Source organism: Homo sapiens, chromosome 9 (genome assembly GCF_000001405.40).
Source record: "Homo sapiens chromosome 9, GRCh38.p14 Primary Assembly".
In the NCBI taxonomy this organism is placed as follows: Eukaryota; Metazoa; Chordata; class Mammalia; order Primates; family Hominidae; genus Homo; species Homo sapiens.
The window spans coordinates 98,994,826-99,015,700 of record NC_000009.12 but is presented as its reverse complement, the minus strand read 5'-3'; the positions used below and the strand labels follow the sequence as shown (position 1 = coordinate 99,015,700).

The 20,875-nt window shown below is 44.9% G+C and overlaps 1 protein-coding gene across 1 annotated transcript in view, besides 2 other annotated features; it reads right to left on the bottom strand.

The window, feature by feature from the left end:
* The window catches only part of COL15A1 (collagen type XV alpha 1 chain), a 126,881-nt gene that overhangs the window by 55,087 nt on the left and 50,919 nt on the right, over nt 1-20,875 (bottom strand). The window contains exons 6-10 of the mRNA NM_001855.5: nt 18,620-18,767; nt 14,750-14,862; nt 12,114-12,248; nt 10,651-10,803; nt 135-284 (exon numbers count right to left, since the gene is read on the bottom strand). Coding sequence (NP_001846.3) covers nt 135-284; nt 10,651-10,803; nt 12,114-12,248; nt 14,750-14,862; nt 18,620-18,767 — 699 coding nt within the window. The remainder of the gene's footprint in view (nt 1-134; nt 285-10,650; nt 10,804-12,113; nt 12,249-14,749; nt 14,863-18,619; nt 18,768-20,875) is intronic.
* Nucleotides 15,896-16,651: an enhancer, noted in NCBI's record as "H3K4me1 hESC enhancer chr9:101761332-101762087 (GRCh37/hg19 assembly coordinates)". NCBI's record gives its function as "activates a minimal SCP1, AML or CMV promoter by ChIP-STARR-seq in naive H9 embryonic stem cells {active_cell/tissue: H9 hESC(naive)}" and the evidence as "EXISTENCE:reporter gene assay evidence [ECO:0000049][PMID:30033119]".
* Nucleotides 16,652-17,408: an enhancer, noted in NCBI's record as "H3K4me1 hESC enhancer chr9:101760575-101761331 (GRCh37/hg19 assembly coordinates)". NCBI's record gives its function as "activates a minimal SCP1, AML or CMV promoter by ChIP-STARR-seq in naive H9 embryonic stem cells {active_cell/tissue: H9 hESC(naive)}" and the evidence as "EXISTENCE:reporter gene assay evidence [ECO:0000049][PMID:30033119]".

The window sequence follows — 20,875 nt, the reverse complement described above, 5'->3', positions numbered from 1 at the left end:
CAGCAGCTGCCCACCCAGACATGTGCTCATAACCAAGCTACAGGTGCCCCTGCCAAGGCCAAGGATGACTGTTGTCGCATGATGCAGACCTGTCTCTCCCCTGTGAGCCAGAGAGGACACAAGATGACACTTACAGAAGTGACTGCCCGCTCAGGGGCCATGGTGGCTGTGAGGGGAGCCAGGCCATCTGTGGGGACCCCACTGGCTTCCTCATCCTCAAAAGTACTGAGGGACACTTCGGTTGCAGCTGCAGCTGTTGTTAAACTGTCTTCACTGCTTGGACCCTGAAATGAAATTGGCATGAGGAGCTGTGCCCCTTCGCCCATGCCCCTGGTTCAGTGGGTGTGAGGCTGGGGGGTGGAAAGCGCTAAAGCCTCAGATAACTGGAGGCTCCATGATTCCCTTTCCTTTGCTCCTCCAGGACCACACCTTCGCCTGGAGCTCCAGCATTAGAACGTACCTTTCAGGGCATCCTCCCACCCACCCCAGAGTCCCTTCTAGCACATCTCTGCTAAGCACTTCTCTGGCCTTAGCTTTGTGAAAGGAAAATAAATCTCAGGATCCCCAAATCAATAAGCCAAAGGGAAAAAAAAATCAAGCTGGGAACTACTTAGGGCAAATCTGTCTCCCATTCTAGCCCTTAAAAAGATAGCTACTAAGATAAAAAAAAGCTACATACTTCCCTAATAATTTGTCCATAAGGAAATTCCTTGCAGACAAAGGACAGATGGAACTCAAAGTCACCCCTCTGCTCACGGAGATAAATGCATATCTGATTGCTTCCTTTGGAAAGGCTAATCAGAAACTCAAAAGAATGCAATCATTTGTCTTTTATCTACCTATGACATGGAAGCCCCCTCCCCACTTTGAGTTGTCCTGCATTTCTGGACAGCACAAATGTACACCTTATATATACTGATTGATGTCTCATGTCTCCCTAAAATGCATAAAACCAAGCTGTGCTCCAACCACCTTGGGCACATGTTGTCAGGATCTCCTGAGGCTGTGTCACGGGCATGTCTTTGACCTTTGCAAAATAAACTACCTAACTTTCCTGAGACCTGTCTCAGATATTTGGGGTTCACATTTTGGCAACCAAGAAGGGATTCTGAGTGGAGGTGCCACTGACCTTTGACAAATCTCATATCGGTGCTTGATACCAGCTTGAGCTTTCTTTATGGTTCAAACCAATAGGACAATTTGCTGAGGCCTAGGAGCCTCCCCTCCAGAGAATCCCTGATCTCCCAAAATTTGGTCAAGTTCTAAAGTTTATTTTGCTGTACAATTCTTTTTTTGCAGTCTTACTTGCTTCCAACAAGGAATGCAAGTTTTCCTGCTTCTAGGATGATGGAAGGCACCTAACTCCTTTCTGGAGTTTGAGCTCATTTCTAACAGGGAAGGCAAGTTTAAATTCTTTCCTGCTTCTAGGATGGTAGAGAGCAATCTTCTGCCTAAGACCTATCTCTAGTAAGTAGCTGAATTGGGGTTTTGTCTTAGCTGAAGTTAAGATTAACAACCAGCTGTTCCTAATTTCTCCTTACTATTAAAGTGCTCAGTAATCATGTTGTTAGGGTTTTTTTGGTTGTTGTTCTGATCTTTCTCCCATCAGATTTGACCAGCTCTACCTGACTTGGTCAAATCTGAATGAGAATTCTAAATTATGGGTAACAAGACCTCTCTGAATTGGCTAAAATTTCTCACAGCTGCAAGAGAGGGGAAAAAAAAACACAACATGCACGTTTGCTATCCTTGCTTCCTGTCTTAAAAACTTTTTTTCTTTCGTTTACTTTTCTTCCGCCCTATACCTCCTTCCCCCTTCACTATCTTTAGTACCAATAAAAACCTAGAGGAGGCTTCCAATGACTCAAACCCCTTAAAGTATTCAGAACAAAGGCACCACCCGCCCCTTTTTGGGGTGTTCCATTTTCTTTGTGGAGTTTCAAGAGTCATGAGCAGATTCTTCTTAGGTCTGAAGCTCTGCTCTCCTGTATTGTAAGACCTGACCTCTTTGGCTTTTGGGGGTACCAGAGATTACCTTATACCGGGAGAGGATTTGACCTTAGTGTGTATAATGGTGGATGAGAGTACAAAGTTAGAGGTGGCTGAGGACAATTTACAGGAAGTGGTCTTAGCTGTTTTTTTTTTTTTTTCTCCTAGGAAGTTATTGTTTAGGACCCTAATTCTAGTTCAGAGGTACATTCTAAAGGGTGTCTTCTCCATTGCCTTTCCTCCTGAAATTAATCTCAATTGGCTAGTGTGAGCATTTTGCATGAGGAATTGAACTATTGTTTTCACAGATAAATGGGAGAATGAGTTTCCTCAGCTTCAAAGAGAAAGGGCATTTTGCACCTCCCAGCTGAAAGGTGCCCCTGGGTGACTGGAGGGCAAGTGGGAGTGTCTTGGGGGGTTGACCCCCCCATGACATGCAGCAACCCTACAGGGAACCCCCAACAAAATTAGTTTAAAAAGCCTCATTCAGGAAGTGCATATAGGAGCTGGTCACCCTGCATTTTGATTTTGAGCCTCTTGGAGGTGCTAGAACTACACAGAGAGAAACTGAGACACGTAAGAGGGTGGAAATGGCTCAGTGGTGACACACTGTAGAGTCTCACCCGCAACCAGCACACTTTGACACACTCCACTAAAATGCTAGGCCACAGCTCAGTTCGTCCCTTAAAATAAAAAATAAATAAATAAAAAAGGCCGGGCACGGTGGTTCATGCCTGTAGTCTCAGCACTTTGGGAGGGATCATGAAGTCAGGAGTTCGAGACCAGCCTGGCCAACATGGTGAAAACCTGTCTCTACTAAAAATACAAAAAAACTAGCTGGGCATGGTGGCACGCACCTGTAGTCCCAGCTACTCAAGACGCTGAGGCAGGAGAATCACTTGAACCCAGGAGGTGGAGGTTGCAGTGAGCCGAGATTGTACCATTGCACTCCAGCCTGGGCAATAGAGGGAGACTCCGTCTCAAAAAAAAAAAAAAAAAAAAAAAAAAGGGTGGGAAACAAATAATCTAAGAATAAGGAAAAACAAGGAGAATGACCCTCTTTCAGGCACTCTGTTGGTTTTATGGTGCCTCTTCTTGCAAGTATTTTTGTAAAATGAACATATATGGTATTTTCATGCACAATTACAGCAAGAAAAATTCAGAGCCCAAAAGTCGATCTGCAACTATAAAGTTCCTAAGTTCTCTATCTCTCTGCTTTCTTCTCTGCCTCTGCCTGCTTTAAGTCTGCTGTTACATTTCTCCTGAGATAAAATCCACTGTTTGCATCCAGACATTTATTTTTGTTATTGTTTCTGCAGGACAATGTGTTTGTATTAATATTTCATGGCTAGAGTTCTGAAGTAAAAGCTATAGGATTTTTGGTTGTATGAGTATGTATGTGTGTGTTTATGTGTACATACACATTTTGTTGTGTTTTTCGCTACAAGGTATGACAATGGCTTAAAGAGTACTCATAAATTAAATGATAAACCCAAATGCTTTTCAAGTTCACACGACTTAAGTCTTTAATAAGCTAGTTTTAAAATTACTGGTAAAGCAATATTAGAAATGTCTTAAGAATTGCCAGCATACATTTTTGTTTGCATTTATTGATCAAGCAATTTCATACTTATCCCTGCCAAATACTATAAGGTGTCAAAATTTGGCACAAGGGTTACAAAACTATAAACTCAGCCCAAAACAGGATAACCTTTGCTTGTGTACTGTCTGATAAATAAGACAAGAACATTAGTTTAATGAAAATAGCTAAATCTTGATTTAGTAAAATAACCATATATTTAATCTTAAGGTTCTACTTAGATAAACACCTGAAATTCACAGGCTATAAAATGGTTGGCAGGGAAATAACTTTAAATAATGACTATTGCAGTTTTCATAAATACAGTAATCTAGGTACAGTATTAAAAATAATTAGGTAAATGTAATGGGATAAATACTTATAGACAAATGTGTCATAATTTAGAATCTAAAGTTAAATTAAATAATAGATATTTCATTAGTTGGGTATATTCCAATTAAAAAATATATTGTAAGAAAACATTCTTTCTAAAAAAAAGTGTGTTTTTTAAAAGGTGAATAATTTTTGTCTCATTCAAAGCTTATTTAAAGGTTATGTATAAAACAAAGTGAAGGGAATCAGGAAATGAGAGAGATGTAAAGAAAGTTATAGAAATAAAGAGGTAATTTTGGTAAGAAAGCTTAAAGAAAAATAATTTTATACAAGAAAGAATCTTTTATGGTAAATTTTGTCCTAGAATAAAATGACTTTTTTTTTTTTTTTTTTCAGAAAGAGGGATGCTCAGGAAAACTAGAAAGTCCAAGCATGTCAGAAATGGTCTGTTTACATCATAAGAAGAAGACAGATGAAAAAAAAAGCTTTCATATGAGCAAGTTGTCTACAATTAAAGGGAAATTATTTAAAATGGTCTTTCCAGAGATTGGGTTTTGATTTTTAAAAAACCACTTATACACTAAAGAATTGGTTTGAACTACAAAATTTTCTTAAGGTATTGCTTTACTCTTAATAAATTACAAGGCATTATAATTTTTTTACACAAAGTTCGACTTTTATTGCATCTTGCTCTTTTCTGTTTTCTCTCGCCTTTTAAAAGGCCTGAAATAATAACTAATCTTCAACTCATTTTCAGCTCCTGTAAGATTTTTTTTCCTCTGGTTATAAATGTTGTGGCCTGATGCTAAAAAAATGTTTTATCTTAAAGATCTAAAAGGAGTATTTTCTTCCAATATAATATTCCCCATAGAGAACAGCAGTCGCACTGCAGAAGGTCTTTTCTTTTGCCTTTGGGTAACTGGCCTAATAAACAGATCTTACACTTTATCTAAATAATTCCTATGTCATTATTACTAAGTTTTCGTTTGCTTAGAAAAGATGCAGATTAACAAAAAGAATATTTTTTTTAATTAAGGTTATTACGTCCATATAACTTTCTGTGAAGGGAGCCGAAGGCCCATGGGACGTGACCAACTCAGCATTCCACTGGAGGCTATATGATCGAACAGCAAACTGTTTATCATGAATGCAGGATGTGAGCAAACTCACAAGTGTTCCCGCCGACAGAAGGTTTGCTGGAGGCAATCACTCCCGGGTGCCGAGGTTATCTACTGCAACATCTAGAGCCTGTTGTTTGAGGAATGCAGTCTTGCAAGCCTACTCTGGACTAAGCAGCTGACCCCTTCTTCCACTCCCCTTCTCACTGTCTCTTTTGCCTAATAAATATGGAGGGCTGTGTAAAGCTCAGGGCCCTTGTCCACAAGAGGCAAGTTTCCCCTGACCCCTTCTTCCAAATATACTCTTTTGTCTCTTGTCTTTTATTCCCACATTTGCCCCCATTTGTTCAGTCCACCAGGGATCATGGCAGGTTACATAGTGGTGCCCAGAACAGTGACAGAATCAGGTGCTCTACATTTCTGTATGTGCTTTTAAAGTACTTGTGCCATTAAGTTACAGGGCTTTGATTCCTGGGTCTAAGAAGGACACCAAGTCCTGCTAAATCTTAAACACTGACAGCAGTTAAAGCCTCACCTACAGATCCTGTAGAAGATGTCAACCAAAATAAACTGCGTTCGTGAGACATAGCGCCAAAAATTAAAGCTATTCAACTCCTCAAGGTCCAAAGACTACTGCAGAAGAGGTGGGCACATGAGATTATAAGGGCAGATTTTGAGAGATAAAATAAGTTTAGTTTCTCTATAAATTAACCATTAATGTCAAAGGCATGCTGATGCAAGACCAGCATATTGGCCCCTGTGTCAGATTAACAAGGTTTTCTTGGAGCATTAACCCACTCCTTAATAAAGGTTATAAAGGTTATAAAAAGGCTTATGGAAATTATATCTTATGGTCAAGATGATTAAAATTTTATAGATTGTTTAAAAATTTTTGAAAAACAAATTTAATTGGCCTCCTGTTGTTTTTATTAGGGCTAATTGTTTGAGAAATCAATCTCTTCAATCAAAGAATAAATATTTTTGCCTTTTTTTTTAACTCTTTGAGGTATCACTTTGGCTAAATGAATGACTTATTTTACAATGACCTGTGATCCTATTTTGTGATATCAAGTGTTTTATACTTTTTATATTTGACAAAATTTCCAAAGTCAAATTCTAACTTAGGTCCCATTAATTTTTTGATTTTCAGAACCAAGAAAGCTTTTCTTCTGAGCTATTATTCCCCTGAAGTCCAAAAGAGACATATTTGGCTTATTCGATATAATAAAATCATACAGGAAGTATTTTCAAATATGAAACAGTGTTTAACCTTCTTTGGATTATATTTACATAAATGTGTTATTAGTATGTGCTCAGAGTTGTATGAAATTCCTGTGATTCTGATATGTTTTAGCATATTTTATCAGTAGTAATTATTATGTAAAATTGCTGTATGCCACAGAAGTAACCAAGTTTCCTTGTCAATTGTGTCTTTAACTATGACTGTTTCAACACTTTTGTCATCCACAGTTGTTTTGCTTTTATCCCTTTCAAAAGGTGGTTTTATAATCGGCATAGGACTCTGATAGGTGCTCTTCAATGCAAGTTTTGAAGATTGTAATGTTAGAATAGAGAAAAAACTTCCAAGGCTCCCATGAAGAGCTGAAATGTTCATGAATAACATGCAGAACAGGAGTTAACTGTGGACTTTTAGAAGACTGAAAATCCTTTTATAACTTTTTGCTTAAAACATTGCTGATCCTTTTTTTGTTTGTTTATCGGAGCCAAGAAAACTTTTCTTTTGAGCTATTTACAGCTTTTAACAATTGAGTAGCCAGGCGCAGTGGCTCATGCCTGTAATCCCAGCACTTTGGGAGGCTGAGGCAGGTGGATCATCTGAGGTCAGGAGTTTGAGACCAGCCTGACCAACATGGTGAAACCCCATCTCTGCTAAAAATACAAAAATTAGCCAGGGGTGGTGGCACATGCCTGTAATCCCAGCTACTTGGGAGGCTGAGCCATGAGAATCACTTGAATCCAGGAGGCAGAGGTTGCAGTGAGCCAAGATCATGCCACTGCATTCCAGCCTGGGAGACAAGAGAGAAACTCAGCCTCAAAAAAAAATGAGTAAAATATACTCATATAAACAAAATTTGGAGCATATTTCTACCTGATCTCTCCAAAAATTTGGTAATTAGTTGTGAGTATTCTTAACTTACAATATAGTTATTTGTGTAAGTGTGATAACAATCTGTTTTCTTTTGTAACAGAGCACAGCTGGAGACACTGGTTATTTTACCATGGTTTTGACTGGAATGGCATGCTATCAGATACAGACTCCTTTAAGGAACCAAAGTTGATTTATAGAGCCAATAAAAGCCCTTGGGAAAGCTGGCCTCATACCTTGTCTACACAATCTCTGTACAGGTTCCTGACCTGTGGTAAGTAAAGAATGTCACTTTCTGACAGGTCCAGGAGCCCCAAGTTTTCTTGAGACCTCAAGGTGAGGCCTTCACCCAATTAATACAGGTATTTGCAGGCATGGGCTGTCCTTAAGGCCTTAAAGTCAAATCTGAGATTCTTTATGGAATAAAGCTCCAGCAAAGTCAATTAAAAAAAAAGAGGAGCCTATATGGCAAATAACTATTTTTGCTGACTTTATGCAAATACTCAGGCCAAGTATAATAAGACTAAAACTTAATTTGCAAATGAAATTGTCCTATGATTTTTCTTTAGTGAAAATGGGACTGGAAAGAGAAAACTTATGTTTTAAAATAAACTATAGAACACCTGTTGTTAGATTTTGGTCTTGCCTAATGTTTTTCAATTTTTATTATTTTCTACAGTTTGGACTGAATTCTAAAATTTGTACTGGCTACAAGTCTCCATAATAATGTTTTCAAATTTTTTTCTTCTTCTTCTTTTCCATTTTTTCCCCATTTTTGAAATCACTAAAATTAAGCCATGCTTTCTTAAAGCCCTGCAAACTGAAGCTAGACAACTTAAACTTCAGAGGAAAATAACAGCAACCTATTTACATAATAAGCCACTTTCATACCTGCCTACTGATGTATGGACTTCAGAGTAATATGACCTATATCAATTTTCCAGGATTGTTCTTCTTTTTTTATTTGTTGTTTTTCTCCCTCCCGCTATTTTCTCTTGTAGGGCATGAGACTTCACAGCCTGATAAAAGTGAACTTTCCTAATAACATGGGACCTACCTGTCTAGGAATAAACCCTCCTAGCCATGAGAAATCAACTAAACCTGAAACTAGAGACTCATTTTCTTTAAAATGCTTTATCTGAAAGATTTTAAAAAGGGGGAAATGTGAAAGGAAAATAAATCTCAGGACCCCCAAAATCACTAAGCCAAAGGGAAAAATGAAAATGGAAATTGCTTAGGGCAAAACGGCCTCCCATGCTATTCCTTTAAAAGGTATCTACTAAGATAAGAAAGGTACATACCTCCCTCACAATTTGTCCTTAAGGAAATTCCTTACAGACAAAGGACAGACAGAACTCAAAGTCATCCCTCTGCTCACTGAGATAAATGCATATCTGATTGCTTCCTTTGGAAAGGCTAATCAGAAACTTGAAAGAATGCAAGCGTTTGTCTCTTATCTACCTATGACATGGAAGCCCCCTCCCTACTTTGAGTTGTCCTGCTTTTCTGGACTGAACCAATGTACACCTTACATATATTGATTGATGTCTCATGTCTCCCTAAAATGCACAAAACCAAGCTGTGCCCCAACCACCTTGGGCACATGTTGTCAGGACCTCCTGAGGCTGTGTCACAGGTGCATCCTTAACCCTGGCAAAATAAACTTCCAAAATTGACTGAGACTTGTTTCAAATACTCTTTGCTTTACAGCTGATACACCTCCAGTAACTAGGACCTCACCACCTCTACAGATAGCCCTTCTATCTTCAGACAACCCTGCTGGTCAAATTCTAGTTTCTATTAAGCTAGGACTTGGTAGAACCTGATCCCTGGCTTTCCCACTCTGTCGTAAGTGCCTAGACATTAAAGAAAGGGGAAGACAGGGAAAGGGAGGGGAGGTGGAGAAGAAGAGGAGGAGAAAGGAAAGGGCAACTGGAAGAGGAAGAAGAAGGAGAAGGAGACAGCCACTTTGTTCACTGAAAGAATCCATATAACTGCCCAGTGGCCTGTGGCACCATCAGTGCATGTCCCCCACCTCCACCCCCAGCCACACTGCAAGGTCTCCCAGCATGGATGCTAAAAGGCTGAAGGCTGCCTGACCAGCACAGACAGACCAGGGGCACAAGTGTGTGCAATGACATCAAAGGCCGGCGTTGTTGATCTGTGATGTCCTGATGACCCCAGCCATTCACTCACTCAGCAGATACTCATTCAGTGCCTATCATTGGTCAGGAATGAAGTATGTCAATGAACAAAATATTGTATCAGTAATCTCTGTTCTAGCAGAGCTTACATTCTGGTAGGGAGCCAGACATGAACTATTTGCCAAGTTCATTATCAACTACAATGATGATGAGGCCTTTTGAGGACAAGAATGGGGAGAGTTCACAGTCTGGAATGACATCTTCTTGAGGAAGTGGTGTTTGAGCTGAATTCTAAAGGATAAGCTAGAATTAAAAGGAGGAGAGAAGGGAGAAAGGTTCTCAGCAGAGAGAAGAGGGTATGAGGCATGATGAGGGAAGAGGTATGAGGAAGAGAGGCATGATGGAGAAACTAGAAAAAGGTCAGTGTGGCTGAAGTGCTGCTGAGAGGCAGAGAGGACGGGCCCAAGAGGTGGTCAGCAAGGCTAGGTAGGCCAGACCCTGCAAGGGCTCTCAGGCCAGGTATGGGAGCTGGGTCTGCAGGGAAGGGCGATGGGAAGCTTCCAAGAAGTGGGGCTGAAAGACTGGAGACAAGCTGTGAGAGGATGGAGGAGGCCAGACAGGGCTCTTAGCAATTGCCCGGGCTGGGGACACGGCAGGCTCAGCACAGGGGCCAGCATTGGAGGAGGACAGAGCCGGCGATTCATGATGTGTTTGGGCAGAAAAATCAACAAGACTTGATGCTTGATGGGATATAGAACTTAAGGAAGAGAGAAGAAAATTCTGGATTAGGTGACTGGAGGATGATGGTCCCATTCATTTGAGGTGGGAACATAGGAGGAGTGGAAAGGAGGAGTTCAGGTTTGAATCAGCTGAGCTGGAAGAACTTGAGGGCACCCATAGTAGAGACAGCACAGGGACAGACTGGCCAAGTGCCTTGGGATGATGTGCCCTGCCTTCAGGAGCTGGACAGTGTCTGTGCGCTGCACGAGGAGAGGGCTAGGAAGGCCTGGCCGTGCCCTCTGACCCTTGCTGGGGCCTGCCGCCTGCTGCCTGATCCCCCATCGCCCTCCAGGAGCCCGCCACTCCTCCATTCTGGCTCCCACCCCCTGTGGGTGGAGGCAGCAGGGTCCTGCATGCAGCCTTGGGACAAACCCCACCTCTGCAACTCACCCATCCCCAGGGCCCAGCTGCTCACTGACCTCCAGGGGCTTCACCACACTCACCCAGGCCTTGGCAAACTCCACCCCCAAGTGAGTATTTGGTCAGAGATCCCCGTGCCTCAGGCTCCCATGGGTTTGCTGAGCAGGAGCCCCACACTCTGAGAAGGTCAGGAGCTGCTCCCACCATGACCTCAACCTTTGGGCACTGTACGATCCTTACCACAGTGGCCTCTTCCCCGAGGCTCTGGGCGGACATGGAGAGGTCCAGCTCCCCGGGGGCCACACCACTGGCCTCCACTTCCCCAGGCATGCTGGCGAGTGCCTCGGCCTCCCCTGCTGCTGTTGCTGCTAAACGCTCTTCATTATCTGGACCCTGAATAGAAAGTCAACAGGAACCGCGTCAGTGCCCCATGATGCTGATCCACCACACTGTGGTAAGGAACAGAAGGCCAGGGCCCCTCAAAGCACCTGCACACCAAGACCTCACTTCACATGGAAACCCACAGTGAGACATCAGACAGAAATATGGAAGCCTGGTTCCTCACACCACTCATGCTGCGAGACCACCCCAGCATCCCACCCGTGTGGTGTGCCACCAGCCACTCCCTGCCAACCCCGAGGGGCATGTGCTCACCAATAGCCCTTCCAAGCTGTGTCCCCTAATCAGAGAGTGCAGCTTCTACTGGTGCTTAAGTCACTGTGTTGAAACAAAAGTCTAGGTCCTCAGACTCCACAGCTTTCTTGTTGAAGCAGTAGTCTACCCTCGTGGACCACTCCCTGTCCCACTCTCTTCCTAGCCCAGTGCCATCTGGCTTCCACCGCTCCGATAGCCCTGAAGCTGCTCTCCCCAAGGCCACTCACCGTGAATGGACAAATTCAATGGATGTTTCTCAGCCCCTTGCTCACTGGGACTTCTGGGAGGATCTGACATTGTTGGCCACATCCCAGGGCAGGCTGGCACCACCACTCACCCAAACTCCAACACAGCCCCCAAGCCCGGCCTCTTTCTCCAAGTTTGCTTCCCCACCCTTTCTCCTCTCAGTAGTCAGAGTGATCTTTCTGGAATTCTAATCTGGCTACATCCATTCCTTGTTTCTTACCCTTCAGTGACTCCCCACTTCTGCTGAATCTTCTCTGTGTCCTTAGAGCCTCTCCAGCCATTTCTCCCCGACCCCTGGCTCACGCTTGACCCCACAGGTATGCTGCCCTTCTTCAGGCTTCAGGCCTTTGCTCCTGCCAGCCCACCTTGCTGAAACACCTGTTCCACCCCCTCTGCTAGGCGACTTCTACTTACCCTCTCAGGCCCGCCTTCAGCATCCTTTCCCCAGGAAACTTCTGTGCCCCCGAGTCTGGGCTCTGGGCCCCTTTTTCAGTGCTCCCAGGGCATCCTGTGCTTCACCTACCACTGACCACAGCCCCTCTTACCACCCTGTCTTCAGGAATCACGTCTATCCTATTTACTATCCATCCCTGAAACCAGGCCTAGTGCCCAGCACAGTGTAGGGCTCTGCACACCGCCACTGAATGGGTCAATGCTATTTAGTGCTTACTCCGACAGACTGCCCCCATGAGACTGTCACTGTGTTTCACAGACACATAGGGAAAGCCAGTGACTGCTCCCACCCAACACAACCCACAACCCCAGACACAGGTGAAGGGGAGCTTGCGCTCTGAGCTACTTACTGGAGTGACCCCTTCCTCTGGGTTCTCCGTGGACATAGAGAGGGTTGGTCCCCCGGTGGGCACACTGCTGGCCTCTGCTTCTCCAGCAGTGCTGATGGGCACCTCGGCCAGCCCCGCTGCTGTTGCTGCTAAATTCTGAAAACAAAGGCATCACAAGAGACCATGTCTCTGGGCTCCCATCAACATGCCTGTGGCTGGTGAGAACAGACTGCCTAGCCTTCTCCAGCCACCTGCATTTCTGTAGCTTCTTTCTCTCAAGGACTTTCACATCTATGGTTTCATAAATCCAGGGATGGGAAAGACTGCCCAGGCACCTATGTCTGGTGTTTGATTCCCAGTATTGGTTTGCACCTCCATTAACACGGAAATCACTGCTCCTGAGTCAGCCTGGTCTAGCTCTAGATACTTCTACTGAAACCCATTGCCTCCCTGTGACCTCCCCATGTACCCATCCAGAAGGCATTAGACAATGTCTTTGCCCATGAAGATGCTTCAGAAATGTGTAGGCAGCACCTCTGTCCTCCTCAGCCTTCTCTAGGCTGGGAGACAGAGACATTCCTGCTTCTTCTCTCTCCCTGTGACTCAGTTTCCTTTGGGAATGCACAGGCAGATTCTCTGAAGGTTTCATAGCAATGGGAGAAATGGAAAGAGAGAGCAGCTTTGGGGCTGGTGACAGCAAACTATGTTCTATCTTCATTTCCCAAAGCTTGTTTATTTATTGCAAAAATGTGGTTCTTTTGGTTACAAAAAACACCAGGCTAATCAAAGTTAAAAAGATTTCCTTGCTGCAGGATTTCTCAGAATCTATAAAAAGAGGAATGTAGAGTGCAGCATTTCCCAAAGTCATTTGACCACAGAGCCCCTTTTTCATAAAATATATTAAATCCTTGCAGAATTACTGTCTCAAAAAACAGTTAGAGGAAAGTTGAGGTCCCAGGATGTTAAAATGAGACTCTTTCTAACTCAGCGTCAGCTAAAGCCCCAAAGGGCAAGTGCAATTTCACAGGCATCAGGTAATCTCCCCATGCTAAAACAAGGAAATGGCACCCGTTCTACCAGCTCCTGCCCATCTCCTACCTCTAGGCTGTGTAAGAAACCATACAGGACTCATTTTGGGGTTGAGTGCCTGGAGAGCAAGAATTCCTTTGGAAAGAATTTTCAGTGTACTGCGGTTCTTCTCCTCCCCTCTACTCACTCCAAACCATTTGGTGAGCTGGGTATGTATTTCCTGGAATTTGGGAGGCTCAGGGACTGGTGTCTGATTTTCTCCAGGGAGACAAAAGGTGAAAGGAGGGAGCCCTTTAGATTCAGAGTTGGGAGAGAGGGACAAAGGAAGAGAGGGGAAGGGGAGAGGAGAGGAGGGGGAGGTGAGGGAGAAAGAGAAAAGGAGGGAAGTGGGAAGAGGAGGGGAGGGGAGAAAAGGGGAGAGGAGAGGAGAGGAGAGGAAGGGAGGGAATAAAAGGAGAGAGGAGGGAAGGAGGAGGTGAGAGGGAAAGGGGAGAGGAGGGGAGGGGGATGGAGAAGGGAGGGGTATTTGTCCTGCAGTTGTTTTGCTGGAGATAGACAAGATAAAATCTCTCCAAAGGGAGCTGGCTGAAATGGGCTGTACTCAAAGAGCCACGCAGAAGATCTGGGCAACCTGTATGGGGTGGAAGCCCGGGCAGAAGTTACAAGGCAAACTATGGAATTTTGATCCTAGGTCCCCTGCAGGAAGACCTCCCAGGAACCACAAAAGCCCCCATAAGAGAGAGTTCCAACAATCAGGCATCTTCCACACCAAAAGCCCAGATCACAATTTGACCAGCCAAGTACAACTGTGTCCATTTCTCCAGGTGGGCCAGCCCCTGCAGATGTTAAAAATAGCTCTAGAGGATGGGGAGATCATGAGGATAAGGAGGAGAGAGAAGTAAGAAAATAGAGAGGAAACCCCTAACCATGCTTCCCTTTCCTGGCAGTTTCCTAGTCTACAGTAGGCCTGAGTATAGAAGGGGGGAAACTGTGTTTGTAATTTTGTTGAATTTTTGATATTATGCTGGGCTTGACTTTTAAATATCTGTGAAAATTGACTGTTACCAGATAGTGACTGAGAGAGCTGTGAGAACTGTCTTAAGTTTTCATCCCAGGAGAAGGGAAGGAATGAGCTGGCGTTGTGGGTTTTCAGCAGGGGCCATTGTGAGAAAACTATTTATGCTTTAATTTTGCACCCTAGGGAGCCCAGCATTTCAAAAACTGGCTTTGCAGGTGTAAAAGCCAATTACCAAACAATAGCATGAACACACCTGCAGTTAATCTGATTCTGTCTTGAAGGGGACTCAAAGGGCTGATAAAGCTATGTGCCTTCACAACTGAGCAGGAGGGCGGGGTTGCATTGGTGAGGCCTGGACGCTCGCTCATCACAGGCAAGTGTGAGGACAAGCTTGCACTGCATATCCCCCACCAGTCCTGTGCATCCCTGGAGAGCCTCTGTGGCCCTGGGACTCTGACCTCCTCTGTACCATGAGGACAGAAGCAATCTTGATGCTATTCAACCAAAACCCTTGTGGTTCTCTCTGGTGCTCAGTAAAATCATCACCAAGTTTGAAATAAGCAAACAAGCCTACTACTGACTAATCAAATGAAATTTACCATCTACTCACCTTTTCTTCAGCAATGTCAAGGAAGGCCCCAGCCCCTGAGCCGCTGTCAGTAATGGGGTCACCATCCACAGAATGAACCCCCTCCAGTGTGTCATTCAGGATCTCACCAGACCCTACAGGAAGCAGGCATTCTGCTATCAATAACTACATTTTGCAGTCTTGGAAAAGAATGAGGTATCTCTTCACCAGCTAACTTGGAAAGATGTTCAGATACCATGACACAGGGTCAAGAGGGGGAAAAAACAAGTTGCAGAACAACATACATGGCAAAGCATGTGTGGTTTCCATTCCAGGCTCTGGCACCACCTGCAGGCAAGTCGCTCAACTTCTGCCTCAAGTTCCTTATCTAGAAATGGGGAATTACAATAATTCCTACCTCATAGGGTTGTTTTGAGTACTGTGTGTCACAAGGACTAAGTAAGTTAATGCAAATAAAGCATTGAGGACAGCCCCTGGCATATAGTAAGCAATTGATAAATGTTCATTGTTGATATGGTTTTACGTGTGTAAAATAGAAAAAAAAAGTATGAGTATAGATATCGTATCATTATTATATATATAACATATTCATGTTATGTAATAATGATTATGACATACATAATATATACATATATGTATATGTATATGTATATGTATGTGCTTATATATTTATATACTTGGCTAAACCACAGTGTTTAGTACTGATATTTTCCAGAAGATAGGAGTGTAAGAAGAGGAAACTATTATTTTTCTGGTTTATACAACTGAGCATTAATTTAATTGTTCCCACATGCATATATTTCTTTTGCAATTTAAAAAGCAGCCCGGAATCCCAGCACTTTGGGAGGCCGAGGTGGGCAGATCACTTGAGGTCAGGAGTTCAAGACCAGCCTGGCCAACATGGTGAAACCCCATCTCTACTAAAAATACAAAAATTAGCCAGGTGTGATTCCACATGCCTGTAACCCCAGCTACTTGGGAGGCCAAGGCAGGAGAATCACTTGAACCCAGGAGGCAGAGGTTGCAGTGGGCAGAGGTTGTAGTAAGCTGAGATTGTGCCACTGCACTCCAGCCTGGGTGACAGAGTGAGATTCCATCTCAAAAAAAAAAAAAAACGCAAATGGATTTTTGAAGCAAAGAAAACTTATTCATTGGCCGGGCATGGTGGCTCATGCCTGTAATCCCAGTATTTTGGGAGGCCAAGGCAGGAGGATCATTTGAGCTCAGGAGTTCATGACCAGTCTTGGCAACATAGCGAGACCCCATCTCTACTAAAAATAAAAAAAAATAGCCAGGCATTGTGGCATGTGGCTGTAGACCCAGCTGCTCAGGAGCCTAAGGAGGGAGCTCATGCCTGGGAGGTCAAGGCTGCAGTGAGCCATGATTGTGCCACTGTGCTCCAGCCTGGGTGACAGAGCAAGACCCTGTCTAAAAAAAAAAAAAAAGAAGAAGAAGAAGAAGAAAAAGAAGTTGTACTACCATGACTGCACGCCTGTTATGGCTGGGCCCATGCCAAGATTGTCCCATGCACTCCCTCCAGCAACCCTCCTGCTGGCCCACCTGTCCTGCCCACCGGGACCCCTCCCACCACCTTCCTGCAGGTGGGCAGATCCTGGTTGGGGATCCCACTATCACCCCATGACAGGTGTGACCTGCCGGATCCACACATCAATACCTCAGTATTATTAACCCTGGGAATGAGACTGAGACTGGGAAGGGCCCTGAAGCCAGGTCAGCCTGTCCCCGGGCCAGGCCCTTCCCACACACGCTGTGCTCACGCAGGTCCCATGGTCACAATAACTCTGGAAGAGGTGCCAAATCCTCCAAAGGACTCTGCCCCCCTCCCCACCCACTCCTGTCCCATCCTGTGATGGAAGAGTGGCCAGCACGGGTCGAGCACTCTCGTCTTCCCTGCTCTGACCACCAGGGGGTGCCGTGCAAGCAGCCGATTGCCTGTCCTCCAAGGACTGACCCCTGGGAAGAAGGAGGTGGGGTGGCCCCTTCCACGGGTCACGATGGTGTCAGGGAAGCTCTGAATGCAAATATTAGGGGCTTTGCTTAGCCAGGGCTTTCTCCCACCATCCGGGCTGTCTACACATCAAGAAGAAAAGGACACTTTGGCTAGCTCCATTGCTTTCAACTGACCTTTTGTCTGCTAGATAAGGAGTGTGGCTGATCCCGGGAACAGGCGAGCTGCGTTGGGATCAGAGCCCAGTCCCCACGTGGACCTCATCTTCTCAGTCTAGGAAAGCCCTCGCCCCAGCCCCTTCACCTTAACCCCTTGCTGAGAGATCCTAATTCCACCCCTGAGAAAAGCATTCGCAATTCAGAAGCCACTTCCACAACTGCGGCCAGATTCAGCCCTCTCATCCACCCAGCATCGGGGATTGTTCATGCTCCCAGAGGACGGCTAAGGAATCTGAAGCTTGGAAACTGATCAGCAACTTGCCCCAGGCCGACAGCAAATAGGGGGCTAGGCAGGGCCTCCTTCCAAGCTGTCTGACTCTCCCCAGCGGGCAGTATTTCCACAGCAACACCCTGCCTCCTTGGCTCTGTCATGACGTTATTAAATTATCCTACAATTTTTTCTCTCCAGTTCTCTATACTTTCTCTGACCCACAGACTCCCCAAATTTAGTTGTTAAAATAACACTCATTAACTGATGGCAGAAGCAAAAAGAATAGTGATATGTATTATTGTAGAAGACTTGTATTAATAAAATACGGAAGTACAATAAAAAAAGTAAAAACCATCCATAATCCTACCACTCAGAGATAACTGCTTATAACATTTTGATGAATATTACGTCTAATATGTGATGTATCTAATACACACACATCGCTCTACATAGCTATATGTAAATAGATATAAATAACATATATTCAAAATTAGGGTCATAGACATAATTTTGGAATTTGCTTTTTTGGTGGAATATACCACGAGCATGTCCCTGGGTCATTAAATCTTCTGTATCACCAGTGTCAGGGCTGTATGTATGAATGAAATAGAATTTGGCCGACCAATCCCTACTGTGGGCAGTTTGGGTTATTTTTGTTCCTAAGAACAGTGCTGCCAGGAATGATCTTGTACTTACATCTTCAGTCTGAAGTGACGGCCCCTCTGAGAAATGACAGAAACCACAAGCGATCTCAGGGCTTGGGCATATGCCAAGCTAGTGCCTGGGGGATAGTGTTTGACGCCTGGGCTTTTACCAGTGCTCCTCTGCACAGGTAGGGGGACAAGAGGCAGGGGCCAGAGCCCTGGATGGGCAGCCAGGGGACCAGCTCTTCTCCTAGGGACTGCTGCTGCCTTGCTGGGTAACTGGCCCCTCTCTGGCCATCAGTTTCTCACTTGTGCCACACAGGAGTTTAGCTGATCCTCTGAGAGTTGGGGAGTTTGTGGCAAAAGTCAGAATGGGTGGGGACTCTGGACTTAGCTCTTCCAAGTGTTGGTTTTTCCACCTATAAAATAGTGGCTAGTGCTACTGAGTAGGCGGTATGCTGTCGGTGTTGGAGACAAAATATCCAAACACTTGGCACACTGTAGGTATTCAACAAAGAGCAAGGATTATTACAAACTTTTCTGTTAAACCCCAGAAGGAATAGAATCTGGGAGTTAGAAGCTCCAGATCTGGGGGTTAGAAGATCTGCTATCTGAGCTCAAATGCCAGCTCTGCCATTCACAAGCTGTTTGCTCCTGGCTGGGTTACTTAACTTCTCTGTGGCTCAATTTCCTCCTCTTGTCTGTAAAATGAGGGTGGTTCTCACCCTTTCTTAAAGGGTTGAGGGGAAGGTTAAATGAGATTCTGTATGTTACATACATGGCCCCGGCTGGACACATAGTAATCACCCAATAAAAGGCCACTACGTAGGCATGTGCATCCGGACTTGCCTTGTTTGGGGCTGCTGTGCTGGATGATGCTCATGTTGGTGGTTTCCAGGGTCCCCTCGGGTACAGGTTCACCAGAAAGTTCCATGTCTTCAAAGGGGGAGGATGGAGTTGGAGGTGTGTTTATGGGTTCAACTTTTGCTTCTTTGGGCTGAAGGGAGGAAAAATGAGATGCAAAATGATTTACTTGGCAGTAAAGCAGAAGAAATGACAGAGAATATCACTGAAGAAAATAATATATCCACAAGATGCTGAATAAACCAAGGGGAAAGCTTGGCCCCACTTGGTGTCTACCTGGGCAATGGCTGCACCTCCCAGGGCCTGAAAGAGGTGCCTACTAGAGGTCATTAGATTCTGTTCACTTGACAGTGAGACTATTCATCTCAGCCAAAGCTCTCTGAGCACAGGGACCACATTTCTGTGATTCCCAAATCCCAGGTCAGCCAGAGGAGGTGCCCAGTAAAGATCTGTTAGAGGAGGGAATGATTGAATGAATTAGTGAACAAATGAATGAACCAGGCTGCACTCAATAAACTGCATATAAATTCAATGCCAGATATGAAAACACCTATGAAAATGAAAGACGGGTGTGGTTCCTTCCGAGGAAACTTCAGCATCTATATAGCTTTTCCAAAGCCAGTCAGTGTCTTAACCAACATTACCAACTAGAGAAAAGCAAACAAACAAAACCCCAACAGAAACACAGAGTGCTTCAGTGATCTACGCAGAAATCCTAGCATGGGCTCCAAAAGTCACAGCATCACCCCTGGACCCAAGCAGCAGCTCGCGGGACCCAGCGCTTGTCAGCATTCAGATAGCCTCATCACTTTCTAAGCTAAAGGGGCTGGGGGTGCATGGAAGAATCCTGTGAATCAGTGTTGAACTCGTGGTATGAACAAGAAACCAATCTTTGTTTTGTAAGGCACTAAGATTTTTGAGGTTAATTTGTTACTGCAGCATCACTTACCTTTCCTGACTAATAACAGAAGGTTATTTCCTTAATTCAGAATCTAGTAAATCAAAAAATTTCTGGTCCATGGAACAAGGAGGATTCTTGGAAGCCCCATCATTTAGAATTTAATAGTTCATTTCTTACAGTCAGACCTGGATCAAATCCCAGCTCTCCACTTATAAGCTTAGTTATGTTGGGCAAGTCATGGAGCTTCACTGAACCTCAGCTTCCTCCTCTGTAAAAATGAGGACAATAAAGAACTACTTGAAGGCAGGAAATAGAAAATGCATGGAAGGGCTAAGCACACCTTTATATTTAGTACATAAATATTCCATATTTGTTATTGAAAACACTGTAAGTACAGATGAGCAAAAAGAGAAATCACCTTGAGTCCTAACACCCAGAGACAATCACCATGGATTCTATTGTACTGTAAAATCTTCAGGGTGGAGGTGGGAGGAAAGGCTTTAAGGAGTTGGGCCTTGGAGAATGAGCAGGGTTTCAGAACACAGGGGTGGAGGGTTGATGAAAGTCAGGGCCTGGCAACTTGAGCTTGGCAAGAGCCCAGGGCTTGAGGAGGGAAGCAGTGGAACAGAGCCCAGGGAGGCAGGCAGAGGGAGGAGCTGGTTCTGTGGGGAGAAGAATGGGCTTGAACCCAAGGGCCACAGGCAGCCACTGGGGAGCATCGGGAGAGGGAGTGGTGGGGGCAGCTGTGTGTTTTAGAGAGTCCTCGCTGGTGGCAGTGTGATCATGGACTAGGGGAGCTGAGGCTTACGCCAGGTGACTGGGGGGTGGCAGTAAAGAAGTCCACAAGACAGGAACCAGGGCAGCAGTGGGAGCAGACAGCAGGCACCTCCCCAGGGGAGGTTGTGAACAAGACCAGGTGGGATGTCTCCATTTCACCCAGATGGATGTTCATCTAGCAGGGAAGATAAAGACCCCTGCCCAGGAGGTTCCTCTCCTCTCCCTGTGAGGGATCAAGGCAGAAGCCACTCCATCACTTGTTCAGGAACCAATGCTCAAGCCCCTGAATGCTCATCTCTAGTCTGGAGTGAGGCTGCTGGTGGCTGGTAGCAAAGGTGCTCTATAAGGCATTTGGACTTTGGGATGAGGCGGGCAGGGCAGGTGAGGGTTCAGGAAACATAGGAAGACAACGAGATGGGGGCTGAGCTCTGTAACTCAGGGTGGCTGAAGTTGTCAAACTCCCAACAAGGCATCCCAACCCCCCTGCAAGGACAGGGCATGGTTCTGGTGAATTGACCCTCAGGAGTGAGGGTAAGGGGACCTGCCTCAAATAGGTGGCTTTG